We start from the raw sequence: 19,404 nt of genomic DNA, 5'->3' as shown, positions 1-19,404 counted from the left end.
CCCTATGTGCAAAATGCTAGACTAGGTACAGTGAGAAGATAGAAACTGGGTAAGGTATAGCCTTTTCTTTCAAGAAGATACCATGGAGACATCAACAAATGAGAAATAATTAATTATATAAGCAAAATTATGACATGCTCTTTGAGAAAGGTGCAAGGGACTATGTAACTGTAAGAATGAGACAAATTGGCTATGACTTAGGTGGGATGGTAATGATAAGGAGTGGCCCTTAGAAGAGCTTTGTCAGGATTTGAGTGTTTGACAGGTGGAGGTAAAAGCAAAGGGGTCCAGGCATAGGAGTAGCACAAAGAAAAGTGCAGAGTGGCTTTGGGAATGGGGCAAGTACAATATTGTTGTGAAGGTCAGAGGCAGAGAACTTTGAATGACTGATGTCTGACTGTGGGGATGTTATCTTTGTTGTTCATTTCAGCGATGGCCGGGTCAAATATACCTTGAACAAGAACAGTTTGAAAATTGAGATTCCTTTGCCTTTTGGTGGCAAATCCTCCAGAGATCTAAAGATGTTAGAGACTGTTAGGACACCAGCCCTCCACTTCAAGTCTGTGGGATTCCATCTGCCATCTCGAGAGTTCCAAGTCCCTACTTTTACCATTCCCAAGTTGTATCAACTGCAAGTGCCTCTCCTGGGTGTTCTAGACCTCTCCACGAATGTCTACAGCAACTTGTACAACTGGTCCGCCTCCTACAGTGGTGGCAACACCAGCACAGACCATTTCAGCCTTCGGGCTCGTTACCACATGAAGGCTGACTCTGTGGTTGACCTGCTTTCCTACAATGTGCAAGGTGAGCTATGCTCAGGTAAAGGGTGCACCGGGCTAGTTCATGGCAGGCTCTAAGAGGAGAGCCTCCTCCAGGGAGGAAAGGACTTTGGCTTTCTAGCAGATAATCTTCCTTGCTACTTGGAAGTCTTTTATTTTATTCAACAAATAGAAATATTTATTAAACATATCACGTGTATTAAATATTCTAGTAGGCAGTAACAGAAAGTAGACAGATAAGCCAGCAATTATAATTCAGTGTGAGAGGTGCTATGATAAAGTGTAGTATATAAGTATAAGGTAGAGTGGAAGCACTCAACAAGGGAACCTAAACAAAGCCTGTGGTGGTCAGGCAAGGCTTCCTGGAGGAATGCCTTTTGCTATCAGATTTTATCTTTGCATTACAGATGGAGGAGTCTATTGCACAATTGGCCCAGAAAAATGGGGCTTTATTATTGAAAGACTTTCAACATAGAGATTGCTCTGGAAATGTACTGCTTAATTTAACCAATGTCTTTTCATTTTTATGTTAGGATCTGGAGAAACAACATATGACCACAAGAATACGTTCACACTATCATGTGATGGGTCTCTACGCCACAAATTTCTAGATTCGAATATCAAATTCAGTCATGTAGAAAAACTTGGAAACAACCCAGTCTCAAAAGGTTTACTAATATTCGATGCATCTAGTTCCTGGGGACCACAGATGTCTGCTTCAGTTCATTTGGACTCCAAAAAGAAACAGCATTTGTTTGTCAAAGAAGTCAAGATTGATGGGCAGTTCAGAGTCTCTTCGTTCTATGCTAAAGGCACATATGGCCTGTCTTGTCAGAGGGATCCTAACACTGGCCGGCTCAATGGAGAGTCCAACCTGAGGTTTAACTCCTCCTACCTCCAAGGCACCAACCAGATAACAGGAAGATATGAAGATGGAACCCTCTCCCTCACCTCCACCTCTGATCTGCAAAGTGGCATCATTAAAAATACTGCTTCCCTAAAGTATGAGAACTACGAGCTGACTTTAAAATCTGACACCAATGGGAAGTATAAGAACTTTGCCACTTCTAACAAGATGGATATGACCTTCTCTAAGCAAAATGCACTGCTGCGTTCTGAATATCAGGCTGATTACGAGTCATTGAGGTTCTTCAGCCTGCTTTCTGGATCACTAAATTCCCATGGTCTTGAGTTAAATGCTGACATCTTAGGCACTGACAAAATTAATAGTGGTGCTCACAAGGCGACACTAAGGATTGGCCAAGATGGAATATCTACCAGTGCAACGACCAACTTGAAGTGTAGTCTCCTGGTGCTGGAGAATGAGCTGAATGCAGAGCTTGGCCTCTCTGGGGCATCTATGAAATTAACAACAAATGGCCGCTTCAGGGAACACAATGCAAAATTCAGTCTGGATGGGAAAGCCGCCCTCACAGAGCTATCACTGGGAAGTGCTTATCAGGCCATGATTCTGGGTGTCGACAGCAAAAACATTTTCAACTTCAAGGTCAGTCAAGAAGGACTTAAGCTCTCAAATGACATGATGGGCTCATATGCTGAAATGAAATTTGACCACACAAACAGTCTGAACATTGCAGGCTTATCACTGGACTTCTCTTCAAAACTTGACAACATTTACAGCTCTGACAAGTTTTATAAGCAAACTGTTAATTTACAGCTACAGCCCTATTCTCTGGTAACTACTTTAAACAGTGACCTGAAATACAATGCTCTGGATCTCACCAACAATGGGAAACTACGGCTAGAACCCCTGAAGCTGCATGTGGCTGGTAACCTAAAAGGAGCCTACCAAAATAATGAAATAAAACACATCTATGCCATCTCTTCTGCTGCCTTATCAGCAAGCTATAAAGCAGACACTGTTGCTAAGGTTCAGGGTGTGGAGTTTAGCCATCGGCTCAACACAGACATCGCTGGGCTGGCTTCAGCCATTGACATGAGCACAAACTATAATTCAGACTCACTGCATTTCAGCAATGTCTTCCGTTCTGTAATGGCCCCGTTTACCATGACCATCGATGCACATACAAATGGCAATGGGAAACTCGCTCTCTGGGGAGAACATACTGGGCAGCTGTATAGCAAATTCCTGTTGAAAGCAGAACCTCTGGCATTTACTTTCTCTCATGATTACAAAGGCTCCACAAGTCATCATCTCGTGTCTAGGAAAAGCATCAGTGCAGCTCTTGAACACAAAGTCAGTGCCCTGCTTACTCCAGCTGAGCAGACAGGCACCTGGAAACTCAAGACCCAATTTAACAACAATGAATACAGCCAGGACTTGGATGCTTACAACACTAAAGATAAAATTGGCGTGGAGCTTACTGGACGAACTCTGGCTGACCTAACTCTACTAGACTCCCCAATTAAAGTGCCACTTTTACTCAGTGAGCCCATCAATATCATTGATGCTTTAGAGATGAGAGATGCCGTTGAGAAGCCCCAAGAATTTACAATTGTTGCTTTTGTAAAGTATGATAAAAACCAAGATGTTCACTCCATTAACCTCCCATTTTTTGAGACCTTGCAAGAATATTTTGAGAGGAATCGACAAACCATTATAGTTGTACTGGAAAACGTACAGAGAAACCTGAAGCACATCAATATTGATCAATTTGTAAGAAAATACAGAGCAGCCCTGGGAAAACTCCCACAGCAAGCTAATGATTATCTGAATTCATTCAATTGGGAGAGACAAGTTTCACATGCCAAGGAGAAACTGACTGCTCTCACAAAAAAGTATAGAATTACAGAAAATGATATACAAATTGCATTAGATGATGCCAAAATCAACTTTAATGAAAAACTATCTCAACTGCAGACATATATGATACAATTTGATCAGTATATTAAAGATAGTTATGATTTACATGATTTGAAAATAGCTATTGCTAATATTATTGATGAAATCATTGAAAAATTAAAAAGTCTTGATGAGCACTATCATATCCGTGTAAATTTAGTAAAAACAATCCATGATCTACATTTGTTTATTGAAAATATTGATTTTAACAAAAGTGGAAGTAGTACTGCATCCTGGATTCAAAATGTGGATACTAAGTACCAAATCAGAATCCAGATACAAGAAAAACTGCAGCAGCTTAAGAGACACATACAGAATATAGACATCCAGCACCTAGCTGGAAAGTTAAAACAACACATTGAGGCTATTGATGTTAGAGTGCTTTTAGATCAATTGGGAACTACAATTTCATTTGAAAGAATAAATGACATTCTTGAGCATGTCAAACACTTTGTTATAAATCTTATTGGGGATTTTGAAGTAGCTGAGAAAATCAATGCCTTCAGAGCCAAAGTCCATGAGTTAATCGAGAGGTATGAAGTAGACCAACAAATCCAGGTTTTAATGGATAAATTAGTAGAGTTGGCCCACCAATACAAGTTGAAGGAGACTATTCAGAAGCTAAGCAATGTCCTACAACAAGTTAAGATAAAAGATTACTTTGAGAAATTGGTTGGATTTATTGATGATGCTGTCAAGAAGCTTAATGAATTATCTTTTAAAACATTCATTGAAGATGTTAACAAATTCCTTGACATGTTGATAAAGAAATTAAAGTCATTTGATTACCACCAGTTTGTAGATGAAACCAATGACAAAATCCGTGAGGTGACTCAGAGACTCAATGGTGAAATTCAGGCTCTGGAACTACCACAAAAAGCTGAAGCATTAAAACTGTTTTTAGAGGAAACCAAGGCCACAGTTGCAGTGTATCTGGAAAGCCTACAGGACACCAAAATAACCTTAATCATCAATTGGTTACAGGAGGCTTTAAGTTCAGCATCTTTGGCTCACATGAAGGCCAAATTCCGAGAGACCCTAGAAGATACACGAGACCGAATGTATCAAATGGACATTCAGCAGGAACTTCAACGATACCTGTCTCTGGTAGGCCAGGTTTATAGCACACTTGTCACCTACATTTCTGATTGGTGGACTCTTGCTGCTAAGAACCTTACTGACTTTGCAGAGCAATATTCTATCCAAGATTGGGCTAAACGTATGAAAGCATTGGTAGAGCAAGGGTTCACTGTTCCTGAAATCAAGACCATCCTTGGGACCATGCCTGCCTTTGAAGTCAGTCTTCAGGCTCTTCAGAAAGCTACCTTCCAGACACCTGATTTTATAGTCCCCCTAACAGATTTGAGGATTCCATCAGTTCAGATAAACTTCAAAGACTTAAAAAATATAAAAATCCCATCCAGGTTTTCCACACCAGAATTTACCATCCTTAACACCTTCCACATTCCTTCCTTTACAATTGACTTTGTAGAAATGAAAGTAAAGATCATCAGAACCATTGACCAGATGCTGAACAGTGAGCTGCAGTGGCCCGTTCCAGATATATATCTCAGGGATCTGAAGGTGGAGGACATTCCTCTAGCGAGAATCACCCTGCCAGACTTCCGTTTACCAGAAATCGCAATTCCAGAATTCATAATCCCAACTCTCAACCTTAATGATTTTCAAGTTCCTGACCTTCACATACCAGAATTCCAGCTTCCCCACATCTCACACACAATTGAAGTACCTACTTTTGGCAAGCTATACAGTATTCTGAAAATCCAATCTCCTCTTTTCACATTAGATGCAAATGCTGACATAGGGAATGGAACCACCTCAGCAAACGAAGCAGGTATCGCAGCTTCCATCACTGCCAAAGGAGAGTCCAAATTAGAAGTTCTCAATTTTGATTTTCAAGCAAATGCACAACTCTCAAACCCTAAGATTAATCCGCTGGCTCTGAAGGAGTCAGTGAAGTTCTCCAGCAAGTACCTGAGAACGGAGCATGGGAGTGAAATGCTGTTTTTTGGAAATGCTATTGAGGGAAAATCAAACACAGTGGCAAGTTTACACACAGAAAAAAATACACTGGAGCTTAGTAATGGAGTGATTGTCAAGATAAACAATCAGCTTACCCTGGATAGCAACACTAAATACTTCCACAAATTGAACATCCCCAAACTGGACTTCTCTAGTCAGGCTGACCTGCGCAACGAGATCAAGACACTGTTGAAAGCTGGCCACATAGCATGGACTTCTTCTGGAAAAGGGTCATGGAAATGGGCCTGCCCCAGATTCTCAGATGAGGGAACACATGAATCACAAATTAGTTTCACCATAGAAGGACCCCTCACTTCCTTTGGACTGTCCAATAAGATCAATAGCAAACACCTAAGAGTAAACCAAAACTTGGTTTATGAATCTGGCTCCCTCAACTTTTCTAAACTTGAAATTCAATCACAAGTCGATTCCCAGCATGTGGGCCACAGTGTTCTAACTGCTAAAGGCATGGCACTGTTTGGAGAAGGGAAGGCAGAGTTTACTGGGAGGCATGATGCTCATTTAAATGGAAAGGTTATTGGAACTTTGAAAAATTCTCTTTTCTTTTCAGCCCAGCCATTTGAGATCACGGCATCCACAAACAATGAAGGGAATTTGAAAGTTCGTTTTCCATTAAGGTTAACAGGGAAGATAGACTTCCTGAATAACTATGCACTGTTTCTGAGTCCCAGTGCCCAGCAAGCAAGTTGGCAAGTAAGTGCTAGGTTCAATCAGTATAAGTACAACCAAAATTTCTCTGCTGGAAACAACGAGAACATTATGGAGGCCCATGTAGGAATAAATGGAGAAGCAAATCTGGATTTCTTAAACATTCCTTTAACAATTCCTGAAATGCGTCTACCTTACACAATAATCACAACTCCTCCACTGAAAGATTTCTCTCTATGGGAAAAAACAGGCTTGAAGGAATTCTTGAAAACGACAAAGCAATCATTTGATTTAAGTGTAAAAGCTCAGTATAAGAAAAACAAACACAGGCATTCCATCACAAATCCTTTGGCTGTGCTTTGTGAGTTTATCAGTCAGAGCATCAAATCCTTTGACAGGCATTTTGAAAAAAACAGAAACAATGCATTAGATTTTGTCACCAAATCCTATAATGAAACAAAAATTAAGTTTGATAAGTACAAAGCTGAAAAATCTCACGACGAGCTCCCCAGGACCTTTCAAATTCCTGGATACACTGTTCCAGTTGTCAATGTTGAAGTGTCTCCATTCACCATAGAGATGTCGGCATTCGGCTATGTGTTCCCAAAAGCAGTCAGCATGCCTAGTTTCTCCATCCTAGGTTCTGACGTCCGTGTGCCTTCATACACATTAATCCTGCCATCATTAGAGCTGCCAGTCCTTCATGTCCCTAGAAATCTCAAGCTTTCTCTTCCAGATTTCAAGGAATTGTGTACCATAAGCCATATTTTTATTCCTGCCATGGGCAATATTACCTATGATTTCTCCTTTAAATCAAGTGTCATCACACTGAATACCAATGCTGAACTTTTTAACCAGTCAGATATTGTTGCTCATCTCCTTTCTTCATCTTCATCTGTCATTGATGCACTGCAGTACAAATTAGAGGGCACCACAAGATTGACAAGAAAAAGGGGATTGAAGTTAGCCACAGCTCTGTCTCTGAGCAACAAATTTGTGGAGGGTAGTCATAACAGTACTGTGAGCTTAACCACGAAAAATATGGAAGTGTCAGTGGCAACAACCACAAAAGCCCAAATTCCAATTTTGAGAATGAATTTCAAGCAAGAACTTAATGGAAATACCAAGTCAAAACCTACTGTCTCTTCCTCCATGGAATTTAAGTATGATTTCAATTCTTCAATGCTGTACTCTACCGCTAAAGGAGCAGTTGACCACAAGCTTAGCTTGGAAAGCCTCACCTCTTACTTTTCCATTGAGTCATCTACCAAAGGAGATGTCAAGGGTTCGGTTCTTTCTCGGGAATATTCAGGAACTATTGCTAGTGAGGCCAACACTTACTTGAATTCCAAGAGCACACGGTCTTCAGTGAAGCTGCAGGGCACTTCCAAAATTGATGATATCTGGAACCTTGAAGTAAAAGAAAATTTTGCTGGAGAAGCCACACTCCAACGCATATATTCCCTCTGGGAGCACAGTACGAAAAACCACTTACAGCTAGAGGGCCTCTTTTTCACCAACGGAGAACATACAAGCAAAGCCACCCTGGAACTCTCTCCATGGCAAATGTCAGCTCTTGTTCAGGTCCATGCAAGTCAGCCCAGTTCCTTCCATGATTTCCCTGACCTTGGCCAGGAAGTGGCCCTGAATGCTAACACTAAGAACCAGAAGATCAGATGGAAAAATGAAGTCCGGATTCATTCTGGGTCTTTCCAGAGCCAGGTCGAGCTTTCCAATGACCAAGAAAAGGCACACCTTGACATTGCAGGATCCTTAGAAGGACACCTAAGGTTCCTCAAAAATATCATCCTACCAGTCTATGACAAGAGCTTATGGGATTTCCTAAAGCTGGATGTAACCACCAGCATTGGTAGGAGACAGCATCTTCGTGTTTCAACTGCCTTTGTGTACACCAAAAACCCCAATGGCTATTCATTCTCCATCCCTGTAAAAGTTTTGGCTGATAAATTCATTATTCCTGGGCTGAAACTAAATGATCTAAATTCAGTTCTTGTCATGCCTACGTTCCATGTCCCATTTACAGATCTTCAGGTTCCATCGTGCAAACTTGACTTCAGAGAAATACAAATCTATAAGAAGCTGAGAACTTCATCATTTGCCCTCAACCTACCAACACTCCCCGAGGTAAAATTCCCTGAAGTTGATGTGTTAACAAAATATTCTCAACCAGAAGACTCCTTGATTCCCTTTTTTGAGATAACCGTGCCTGAATCTCAGTTAACTGTGTCCCAGTTCACGCTTCCAAAAAGTGTTTCAGATGGCATTGCTGCTTTGGATCTAAATGCAGTAGCCAACAAGATCGCAGACTTTGAGTTGCCCACCATCATCGTGCCTGAGCAGACCATTGAGATTCCCTCCATTAAGTTCTCTGTACCTGCTGGAATTGTCATTCCTTCCTTTCAAGCACTGACTGCACGCTTTGAGGTAGACTCTCCCGTGTATAATGCCACTTGGAGTGCCAGTTTGAAAAACAAAGCAGATTATGTTGAAACAGTCCTGGATTCCACATGCAGCTCAACCGTACAGTTCCTAGAATATGAACTAAATGGTAAGAAATATCCTGCCTCCTCTCCTAGATACTGTATATTTTCAATGAGAGTTATGAGTAAATAATTATGTATTTAGTTGTGAGTAGATGTACAATTACTCAATGTCACAAAATTTTAAGTAAGAAAAGAGATACATGTATACCCTACACGTAAAAACCAAACTGTAGAAAATCTAGTGTCATTCAAGACAAACAGCTTTAAAGAAAATGGATTTTTCTGTAATTATTTTAGGACTAACAATGTCTTTTAACTATTTATTTTAAAATAAGTGTGAGCTGTACATTGCATATTTTAAACACAAGTGAAATATCTGGTTAGGATAGAATTCTCCCAGTTTTCACAATGAAAACATCAACGTCCTACTGTTATGAATCTAATAAAATACAAAATCTCTCCTATACAGTTTTGGGAACACACAAAATCGAAGATGGTACGTTAGCCTCTAAGACTAAAGGAACATTTGCACACCGTGACTTCAGTGCAGAATATGAAGAAGATGGCAAATATGAAGGACTTCAGTATGGAGCTTTTATTGAATTGAAACCTTATACCTTTTGAAAACTCATTGTGATTTTCTTCATCTCCATACCCCTTTCGTGATAGCTCATCTGTTTTTCTGCTTTCAGGGAATGGGAAGGAAAAGCGCACCTCAATATCAAAAGCCCAGCGTTCACCGATCTCCATCTGCGCTACCAGAAAGACAAGAAAGGCATCTCCACCTCAGCAGCCTCCCCAGCCGTAGGCACCGTGGGCATGGATATGGATGAAGATGACGACTTTTCTAAATGGAACTTCTACTACAGCCCTCAGGTAAATACCACCTAATGAGTGACACGCCCCCAAGAGCGAGTGGAGAATTGGGGCAGATACATTTAATTCAGGACCAAATATTCAGAGATTCCCCAAACTAGGTGAAAGACAGGCGGTAAGCAACTTCTTCTCTGAGGAAATATTCTCTAGAAAGTATTACAATGAGTCCTTGATTGATTTTAATGTTTAGATGCACACATGACATCCCATCAGCACTATTATTTATTAATTCTGGGCAAATCCAGGAAGATGAGGGTTATACCTCATCATCTAAATCATAGGCAAGCTCAGCCATAGGCAGGGTATATTTTTCAGAGAGGACTGGTTTCTGTAGTATTTAAAACTTTAAAATTCTTCCCCACAATAGAATTGCTAGATGAGATACATCAAATTCCTCTCATGTCATTTACAAGCTCTGCCAGGGCCAAATCAAGGGTGACATTACCAGAGGAGAAGACCAAACATGGTTCTATGACTGTTACTAAAAGTTTGTCATGGGCTTGGAGAATGCGTACTGATGTTGGGATTCTGGGTCTCTGCAGGGTGGGCTCCAACTTGCCTTTTTTGCTATTTCTTCTTTTCCTATCTGTCATTTCCTGACTCTTCTTCTCTCTCCTCTTCTTTCTCTTCCCCCCACTCCTCTTCCAGTTTTCAGTCCTAGGAAGGCTTTAATTTTAAGTGTCACAATGTAAATGACAAACAGCAAGCGTTTTTGTTAAATCCTTTCTGGGGCATGTGATAAAGAGAAATTAACAACAGTAGACTTATTTAACCATAAAACAAACACATGAACTGACATATGAAAGATAAATCCCTTTCAGTATATGAAAGATTCTCTGATCTTTATTTTTAACTGCTAATGAAGTTTTAGTGTACTATATTGTGTAATTGGAGTAATTGAAAACATGTTATTTTTTTTTTTCTCTCTGTTTAGTCCTCTCCAGATAAAAAACTCACCATATTCAAAACTGAGTTGAGGGTCCGGGAATCTGATGAGGAAACTCAGATCAAAGTTAATTGGGAAGAAGAGGCAGCTTCTGGCTTGCTAACCTCTCTGAAAGACAACGTGCCCAAGGCCACAGGGGTCCTTTATGATTATGTCAACAAGTACCACTGGGAACACACAGGGCTCACCCTGAGAGAAGTGTCTTCAAAGCTGAGAAGAAATCTGCAGAACAATGCTGAGTGGGTTTATCAAGGGGCCATTAGGCAAATTGATGATATCGACGTGAGGTTCCAGAAAGCAGCCAGTGGCACCACTGGGACCTACCAAGAGTGGAAGGACAAGGCCCAGAATCTGTACCAGGAACTGTTGACTCAGGAAGGCCAAGCCAGTTTCCAGGGACTCAAGGATAACGTGTTTGATGGCTTGGTACGAGTTACTCAAGAATTCCATATGAAAGTCAAGCATCTGATTGACTCACTCATTGATTTTCTGAACTTCCCCAGATTCCAGTTTCCGGGGAAACCTGGGATATACACTAGGGAGGAACTTTGCACTATGTTCATAAGGGAGGTAGGGACGGTACTGTCCCAGGTATATTCGAAAGTCCATAATGGTTCAGAAATACTGTTTTCCTATTTCCAAGACCTAGTGATTACACTTCCTTTCGAGTTAAGGAAACATAAACTAATAGATGTAATCTCGATGTATAGGGAACTGTTGAAAGATTTATCAAAAGAAGCCCAAGAGGTATTTAAAGCCATTCAGTCTCTCAAGACCACAGAGGTGCTACGTAATCTTCAGGACCTTTTACAATTCATTTTCCAACTAATAGAAGATAACATTAAACAGCTGAAAGAGATGAAATTTACTTATCTTATTAATTATATCCAAGATGAGATCAACACAATCTTCAGTGATTATATCCCATATGTTTTTAAATTGTTGAAAGAAAACCTATGCCTTAATCTTCATAAGTTCAATGAATTTATTCAAAACGAGCTTCAGGAAGCTTCTCAAGAGTTACAGCAGATCCATCAATACATTATGGCCCTTCGTGAAGAATATTTTGATCCAAGTATAGTTGGCTGGACAGTGAAATATTATGAACTTGAAGAAAAGATAGTCAGTCTGATCAAGAACCTGTTAGTTGCTCTTAAGGACTTCCATTCTGAATATATTGTCAGTGCCTCTAACTTTACTTCCCAACTCTCAAGTCAAGTTGAGCAATTTCTGCACAGAAATATTCAGGAATATCTTAGCATCCTTACCGATCCAGATGGAAAAGGGAAAGAGAAGATTGCAGAGCTTTCTGCCACTGCTCAGGAAATAATTAAAAGCCAGGCCATTGCGACGAAGAAAATAATTTCTGATTACCACCAGCAGTTTAGATATAAACTGCAAGATTTTTCAGACCAACTCTCTGATTACTATGAAAAATTTATTGCTGAATCCAAAAGATTGATTGACCTGTCCATTCAAAACTACCACACATTTCTGATATACATCACGGAGTTACTGAAAAAGCTGCAATCAACCACAGTCATGAACCCCTACATGAAGCTTGCTCCAGGAGAACTTACTATCATCCTCTAATTTTTTAAAAGAAATCTTCATTTATTCTTCTTTTCCAATTGAACTTTCACATAGCACAGAAAAAATTCAAACTGCCTATATTGATAAAACCATACAGTGAGCCAGCCTTGCAGTAGGCAGTAGACTATAAGCAGAAGCACATATGAACTGGACCTGCACCAAAGCTGGCACCAGGGCTCGGAAGGTCTCTGAACTCAGAAGGATGGCATTTTTTGCAAGTTAAAGAAAATCAGGATCTGAGTTATTTTGCTAAACTTGGGGGAGGAGGAACAAATAAATGGAGTCTTTATTGTGTATCATACCACTGAATGTGGCTCATTTGTATTGAAAGACAGTGAAACGAGGGCATTGATAAAATGTTCTGGCACAGCAAAACCTCTAGAACACATAGTGTGATTTAAGTAACAGAATAAAAATGGAAACGGAGAAATTATGGAGGGAAATATTTTGCAAAAATATTTAAAAAGATGAGGTAATTGTGTTTTTATAATTAAATATTTTATAATTAAAATATTTATAATTAAAATATTTATAATTAAATATTTTATAATTAAAATATTTATAATTAAATATTTTATAATTAAAGTATTTATAATTAAATATTTTATAATTAAAATATTTATAATTAAATATTTTATAATTAAAATATTTATAATTAAATATTTTATAATTAAAATATTTATAATTAAATATTTTATAATTAAAATGTTTATAATTAAATATTTTATAATTAAAATGTTTATAATTACATATTTTATAATTAAAATGTTTATAATTACATATTTTATAATTAAAATGTTTATAATTACATATTTTATAATTAAAATGTTTATAATTACATATTTTATAATTAAAATGTTTATAATTACATATTTTATAATTACATATTTTATAAAGTATTTATAATTACATATTTTATAATTAAAGTATTTATAATTACATATTTTATAATTAAAGTATTTATAATTACATATTTTATAATTCAATATTTTATAAATAGTTAAAAAGACGAGGAAAAAATTAAAAAGACGAGGTTATTGATCTCAGGAATTGTATTTGCCAAGTGAGAAGGAAAAAATATTCACAAAGGCTTGTACATACTTTGATCCTGAGGAACACCTCTGGTGTCTTCATGTGCCACATAGTCTTCCTCACTGACTGTCTGCCTTTGCAAGGCAAGGCTCTCCGGTAGGCCTCGAGATGAAATAACAAGTCCTTTATTTCACTCAGCCTGCCAGGAGTGGAGAAGGAATGGCTAGGGAGTCCTAGCCCCAGGGGCTTCATGGCAATACGGACCCCAGATGTCTCCCTGGAGCTCTGCCAGGATCCATTCAAGGCCAAGAAAGTATGATTGGGAGAGGAGGGGTGGAGATGTAGATTCCTAACAATTCTGTGACCCAGCATACATGTATGCTCTTTAGGCTCTTAAGCATCCTTATTTTTCCAAATATAATATCCAACAATCCCAAGTGTAGTAAAAACCCAAGGGTTTCTCCTGCCACATCCACTCACTTCAAACTCTGATTTTAAACACTGGCAATATCCAGTCAGAGCCTCCAAGCTGAGCTCTAGAAAGAGAAAGCTGCAAAAAACCTGTGCAACAAAACTTGCACTCATATTACTGACAAGGGTAGATATAAAACAGCGCATTCTTTTCCATGACACTGAAGAGCAAAGAAGAGTGTAACTTGGGGGCAATAAGAAATTGGAGGTCACCACCTCCCAAATCCTACATGAGGTCTATTTGGAAAAGACCTCCTTTTTTAATTCAAAAATCCTTCAACCTCCACCATTCTTTCATAAAGCTTCACATTCTCTTGGTGAAGCCCACTGTTAAAATGCACAGGCGTTACCTGGAAAAGGAAACACATAGCCTTAACAATATTCTTCTGTACTGAACTGAAGAGTGAGAAAGAGTCTATGGAGCTATAATACGGTAGTGTATGAATCTGGTACTCAAGGAAAGTCTGTTGGATAATGGATGGATGGATGGATGGATGGATGGGTGGGTGAGCGAATAAATGAGTGGATAAATGAGGGGTCAGTTTTGAGAGTGAGAGAAACATGGAAATTAGACTCAAATCCCAAGGCACCACATGGAATAGTTCCAGGAATAGTTCTGCAAGAGTTTCCCTGATGAGCTATAAGCAGCAAAAATTTAGTGAGTGTTCAAACTGAAAGGAGGCCTGGAATTGTGGCTTAATTTGGAGGGAAAGAGGGAGTCCAAGATTCCCAGTGCTTATTTGTTGATATCTATCTAGTGCTGAAAAGAAAAAAAAATAGCCACAAATCCAAAATGATTGTGCAGTCACATGGTACCCACTGCCCAGTTCCTTGACCAGTGTCCCTCATACAAAGGGCCCCTGATGAGCTCAGAATGTCTTTGTTGTACTGAATAAAGTTTGAAGAACAAGGGATCCTTGTGGGGACTTGGACTTTGCCTGCTCCCTTCTTAGGTCTTCTACTGCATATCTGGATACTTCTCTGGTTCAATTAATAGCTACATTTTTTATTTGCTTGTACTCAGTGCAACTTATTTCACCTCTGCAAGCCTCAGTTCTCTTACCTATGAAATGGAGATAATATCTATCCTGCCTGCCTTGCAGGACTTTTCATGAAAATCAGTTGAAATAACATATATGAGAGTTCTGCAACCTTTAATGTCCTGTAGAGAAAAGCTGCCATTATCATTAGATGATTATTAAAATGACGTTATGGCAAGAAGAAAGAATGGAGGCAGGGCTACGTGTCTGGTTCAGTGTGCATTGATAAAACACCTCTATGTGTAAGGCACTGTGCAGTGGCTCTATAGAGGAGACAGAGATCAATAAGATGCAGTTCCTGGAGGTCTGTCTGCCCATTTATCTGTCAAAGGTGAAACGTGTTTTCTCATGGTGGATATAACCAAAGTACTATGAGGGATTTAAAAGAGGAAAGTTGTGAATCAGGGGATTTTTATAGAAAAGATTGAAATGGATCTCGAATATACATTGACTTTAATAAACAGATGAGAGAGAGGGTGGTCTAGGAAGAAGACGAGTAAAGAATGATAGTTGGGTGTGTTGTAAGGACACTGGATTATCTAGTTTAGCCAAAGCACAGGAAAGGTAAGGAGAGAGGACTGGAAAGGCAGATCTATAGTACTGCAGAGGGCTCGAATGTCAGAGTAAAAAGATGACACTCTCTTTGCTGAAGGACATCCAGTAAAAGTTTTTGAGCAGAAGGGTGACATGCATTGTGATTTCGGAAAACCAACATGACAACCTATAGATAATGAATTGTAATGGGGTGAATCTGGATATGAGTGTATTAGTCCGTTCTGGCATTGCTATAAAGAAATACTGAGACTGGGTAATTTAAAAAGAAAAGAGGTTTAATCAGCTTATGGTTCCTCAGGCAGTACAGAAAGCATGACTGGGGAGGCCTCAGGAAAGTTATAATCATGGCAGAAGTTAAAGGGGAAGTAGGCACAACCTACATGGCTGGAACAGGAGGAAGTGTGGGGAGGTGCTACACACTTTTAAACAACCAGATCTCATGATAACTCACTCACTATCACGAGAACATCACCAAAGGAGAAATCCGCCCCCATGATCCAGTCACCTCCCACCAGGCCCCACCTCCATCATTGTGGATTACAATTTGACGTGAGATTTGGGTGGGGACACAGACCCAAACCACATCTATGAGGTTGTGCCAGGGTCCAAGTAACAGATGAGGAGCACCTCAGTCAAGTCCTAGGGTTGGGAATGGTGAGGAGGGTAGGATAGAAGAAGATTGGGAAGGCAGAATTGACAGAATCAGGTGGCTGATTGAGTAAAACACAAAGGATGGGTGCAAAAGCTCTTAGAAATGGAGTTGCCTTGGTAAGTCACTGAAGCCGGGAACTGGAGGGGTTGCAGGAGAGAGAGAGAGGAACATAGGAACAAGGAAGAATAGGTAAAGCAGACTTCAGAGTTAGGAAATTCCGAACCTGTGTAACTTGAAGGACTATGGAGCCTCAGTAGAAATGGGAGGAATGTGTTGAGTGGGAGATTATTAGTATAAGACATGGACTCATTGACTATCACAGCTGGAATGGGACTACTGGATCACATAGTGAGTTTCCATTTGCAATCATGTGTCTAAGCAGAGATATCTAGCAGGCCAGTTGGAAATGTGGGCTAGAGAAACAATATCCAAAGGAGTAGGGAAAAATGAGGATTTTAACCAATAATTGCATTAATTTTATGTTTGTATAAGTATCTTTAGAAACTTAACAAGAAAACAAAGAGTTTTTCCTTTTGTACAGTTAATTGCCCTATTGTCCTGGGAGTAAGTCAACAGGTACATCTGCTAAGAACATACTGTGAGGTGACGTGGAAAGTCCTGCTATAAATACAGATATTCCTCCCATTAAACAAATATCTAAAGTTTTCAACCAAAGGAGAAATCAAATAATGGAGCCCAGCCCAAGTCCCTGGGGCTTCAGAAGCATGATCAAGCTGTGTGCTTTGGTTTGACTCCCAGGTCCCGCCTAGAGTAGTGGTGCTGTCCTCAGGATAAACCTGATAAGAAATGGGTCCAATGGGACTCAGCACCACCAGATGTCTTCAGAGCTACCTCCATTTTCTTCTGCTTTTTACTTGAAGCCCGGTCAGTTGAATAGCTCAATTCCCCTTTTTTGGTGAGTTGAGCAAAGCCCCCTCTAACTCCCTATTCTAGGTCCCCTTCTGAATCTAATTTATGACTTAGTCCCAATTCAGTCAGAGAAGGGGCCAAGCTGGCCCTCAAATGGGGCCTGCAATATGGGAGCCAGAGTGGACAAACAGATGTTCCCTCTAAAAGTGTCTAATAACCAGAGATAAATGTGCAGAAACAGACCCTACCTCTTAGCTCATCTCCTTGTATGCTGTTTCACATTAAGAGGTCAGCTGTAACTCCCTTCAGAGTGCTCCATTTGTTGGTGGGATGGTTGGGTGGTCACCAACAAATAACATTCCAGGGCCTCATAAAAGTTGGTGGAGTAGGTGCACATGTTTCCACAAGGAGAGGGCCCTGCCTTTATTCTGCTACATAGACTGGCTCATGCCTTCCCCAGATCTGAGCAGTGCTTCAAGTCAACAATGCCAGGGCACTAGGCGCTAACACTGACACTTGTGTCCATTTTACTCCCTGGACTGACACCACCAAAGCCCATTCTTGGGGTGAGAGGGATGACTCAGGCCTTGAAGGTGGACTGGTTCATGAACTGAAGACCTGTGTCCCCACCCTTGTTTTTAAACTGTGGCTTGGGCTGTCAGCTGTGCAGCATGAACACCAAACCACAGTGAGCAGAGGCATCCAGAGTTTAGATTCTAACCCAGAAACAGTGCCTAAGGAAAGCACAGCTGGACCAATAGCCCAGCTCCACCAATTCTCTCTCCATTCCTCTGCTTTTTCATCAGGTGGGGCTCATCCAGGCTGGTGCCAAGGTCTTTCTGGAGTAATGGAGCTCAGTATAGCTCCAGGAGACCTAAAGCCTTTGAAGTGGGATCAGAGCTAGAGTCATTAGAACATTTCTATAATCACATGGGATGTTGGATGATCCTGGAAAGAACAATAGAGAGGGCCGACTGCTGCCCCATAGCTCTGTTGAGCTGAGGCTGGGAACCAAGGCAGTCAATACTTCCCTCCTCTCAAAAGAAGTCCCCGCTCTCAAATTCAAGCTTCATCATTCATGAGTTATTTAACTTCAGAAAAGTCACTTGAGTTTCCTAACCTTCAGTTTTCATCATTAAAATGGAGATCAATGAGAAAAATAGGTTAAGCAACTCTGAGCAGGAGGAGAAAGTGGCCCCATCTTATGTTACAGAGTTGTTACAAAGATTAAATGAGGTTAACATACATGGAGCCTGGCAAACAGCGAATGAATGCATCGATGGTTTTCTATTGACAGAAGTCAAAATAAATGACGTACAATTACAATTATACTCAACTACTTAGAGGAATCTGACCACAACATAATAGGGAATAAGAATGCAAGTCCTGGAAGATGAAATGCAGTGCCAGACTCTTTTGGGTTTTTTGGTTTGTGTTTGTTTTTATTTTTGTTTTTGTTTGTTTGTTTATTTGTTTGAGACGGAGTCTTGCTCTGTTACCAGGTTGGAGTGCAGTGGCGCCATCTTGGCTCACTGCAACCTCCGCCTCCCAGGTTCAAGCGATTCCCCTACCTCAGCCTCCAGAGTAGCTGGGATTACTGGCATGTGCCACCACGCCCGGCTAATTTTTTGTATTTTAGTAGAGATGGGGTTTCACCACATTGGCCAGGATGGTCTTGATCTCCTGACCTCATGATCCATCCACCTCAGCCTCCCAAAGTGCTGGGATTACAGGCATGAGCCACTGAGCCCGGCTGCCAGACTCTTTTAATATAGTTAAAATCAAGAACAAAATGCTTTGTTTTCTAGGATTATAGTTTTGAAGCCAGGGAATGCTAAACTCAACATTCCGGATAGGTTACGATCTGGTGGGGAGAGGCAGGGAAGGGAGGGTGAGGACTCATGGGTCAACGTGGGTGACCCTCATGCCCTCATTCTCATGCTGGAGGGTGAGTTTGTAGGTGCTTATGGCACTACTAATTGACTTAGTTATATTATGTATTTAATGAATTAAAACAAAGGAGAAAAAGGTAAAGCCTTTAAGTGCATGGCTTTTATGAAGCACTTAAATGATTTCGTGCTTCCTTCTCCTCTTCACCTGAGATTTTTGGACAGATGAAATCTTCCTTCTCAAGGCAAAATTATTGCTTCAGTAGCTATTTGTTAAGCCCCTTCTCTAGGCCAGGCATTCTCCTAAGCATTCAGGGCAGAGAAATAAACAAGGCACTGATGTAGGAGGCTGGACATGGTGTTCAATCTGGGAGGGGCCCAAATGAGGAGGACTTATAGGGATTCTGGGATCACGGAGACAGAAGAGGCAGGAGGTCACAGAGCACACTTGGGAGACAGACGTGGGTGTGAGTTCCAAGTGTGCCACTCGCCAGCCATGGGGTCCTGGGACAGTCACTTCACCTCTCTGTTCATCAGTTACTTCATCTGTAAAATGGGAACTCAGAGAACAATAACATGCTCCAGATGAACTGAATGAGCCCGGGTCCTTCTATACCATCTAAGCTTTTCGCCTCTGTGACCGTTTCTTTTTATTCTCTAT

The 19,404-nt window shown here is 40.4% G+C and overlaps 1 protein-coding gene across 1 annotated transcript in view, besides 9 other annotated features; it reads left to right on the top strand.

Moving 5' to 3' along the window:
- The window catches only part of APOB (apolipoprotein B), a 42,645-nt gene extending 30,110 nt beyond the window's left edge, over positions 1 to 12,535 (top strand). Inside the window, exons 25-29 of the mRNA NM_000384.3 lie at positions 431 to 804; positions 1,313 to 8,884; positions 9,289 to 9,403; positions 9,512 to 9,695; positions 10,630 to 12,535. Coding sequence (NP_000375.3) covers positions 431 to 804; positions 1,313 to 8,884; positions 9,289 to 9,403; positions 9,512 to 9,695; positions 10,630 to 12,234 — 9,850 coding nt within the window. The 3' untranslated portion in view covers positions 12,235 to 12,535. The remainder of the gene's footprint in view (positions 1 to 430; positions 805 to 1,312; positions 8,885 to 9,288; positions 9,404 to 9,511; positions 9,696 to 10,629) is intronic.
- Positions 12,123 to 12,523: a DNaseI hypersensitive site, noted in NCBI's record as "DH2; the nucleotide coordinates are approximate for this feature". NCBI's record gives the evidence for it as "EXISTENCE:in vivo cleavage assay evidence [ECO:0001075][PMID:2168168]".
- Positions 12,123 to 13,563: a biological region, named in NCBI's record as "APOB 3' scaffold/matrix attachment region".
- Positions 12,612 to 13,563: an insulator, noted in NCBI's record as "3' MAR (+43104 to +44079); Xba I/BamH I fragment". NCBI's record gives its function as "may contribute to locus-independent transgene expression in cell culture (PMID:7799927); two copies in any orientation on a fly transgene can establish chromosome insulation (PMID:9528807, PMID:15542833)" and the evidence as "EXISTENCE:reporter gene assay evidence [ECO:0000049][PMID:7799927]" and "EXISTENCE:transgenic organism evidence [ECO:0001131][PMID:9528807, PMID:15542833]".
- Positions 12,683 to 13,283: a DNaseI hypersensitive site, noted in NCBI's record as "DH1; the nucleotide coordinates are approximate for this feature". NCBI's record gives the evidence for it as "EXISTENCE:in vivo cleavage assay evidence [ECO:0001075][PMID:2168168]".
- Positions 12,693 to 13,331: a matrix attachment site, noted in NCBI's record as "3' MAR; Dra I/Rsa I fragment". NCBI's record gives the evidence for it as "EXISTENCE:fractionation evidence [ECO:0000100][PMID:2592370]".
- Positions 12,694 to 12,707: a repeat region, noted in NCBI's record as "14 nt direct repeat flanking AT-rich hypervariable region (HVR)". NCBI's record gives the evidence for it as "COORDINATES:sequence alignment evidence [ECO:0000200][PMID:3786150, PMID:2885324]".
- Positions 12,721 to 13,225: a repeat region, noted in NCBI's record as "AT-rich hypervariable region (HVR); approximately 34 copies of 15 nt consensus repeat length". NCBI's record gives the evidence for it as "COORDINATES:sequence alignment evidence [ECO:0000200][PMID:3786150, PMID:2885324]".
- Positions 13,235 to 13,248: a repeat region, noted in NCBI's record as "14 nt direct repeat flanking AT-rich hypervariable region (HVR)". NCBI's record gives the evidence for it as "COORDINATES:sequence alignment evidence [ECO:0000200][PMID:3786150, PMID:2885324]".
- Positions 13,255 to 13,268: a repeat region, noted in NCBI's record as "14 nt direct repeat flanking AT-rich hypervariable region (HVR)". NCBI's record gives the evidence for it as "COORDINATES:sequence alignment evidence [ECO:0000200][PMID:3786150, PMID:2885324]".

Source organism: Homo sapiens, chromosome 2 (assembly GCF_000001405.40).
Source record: "Homo sapiens chromosome 2, GRCh38.p14 Primary Assembly".
Taxonomy (NCBI): domain Eukaryota; kingdom Metazoa; phylum Chordata; class Mammalia; order Primates; family Hominidae; genus Homo; species Homo sapiens.
The sequence above is the reverse complement of the archived record's forward strand: the minus strand, read 5'-3'. Positions and strand labels throughout refer to the sequence as shown.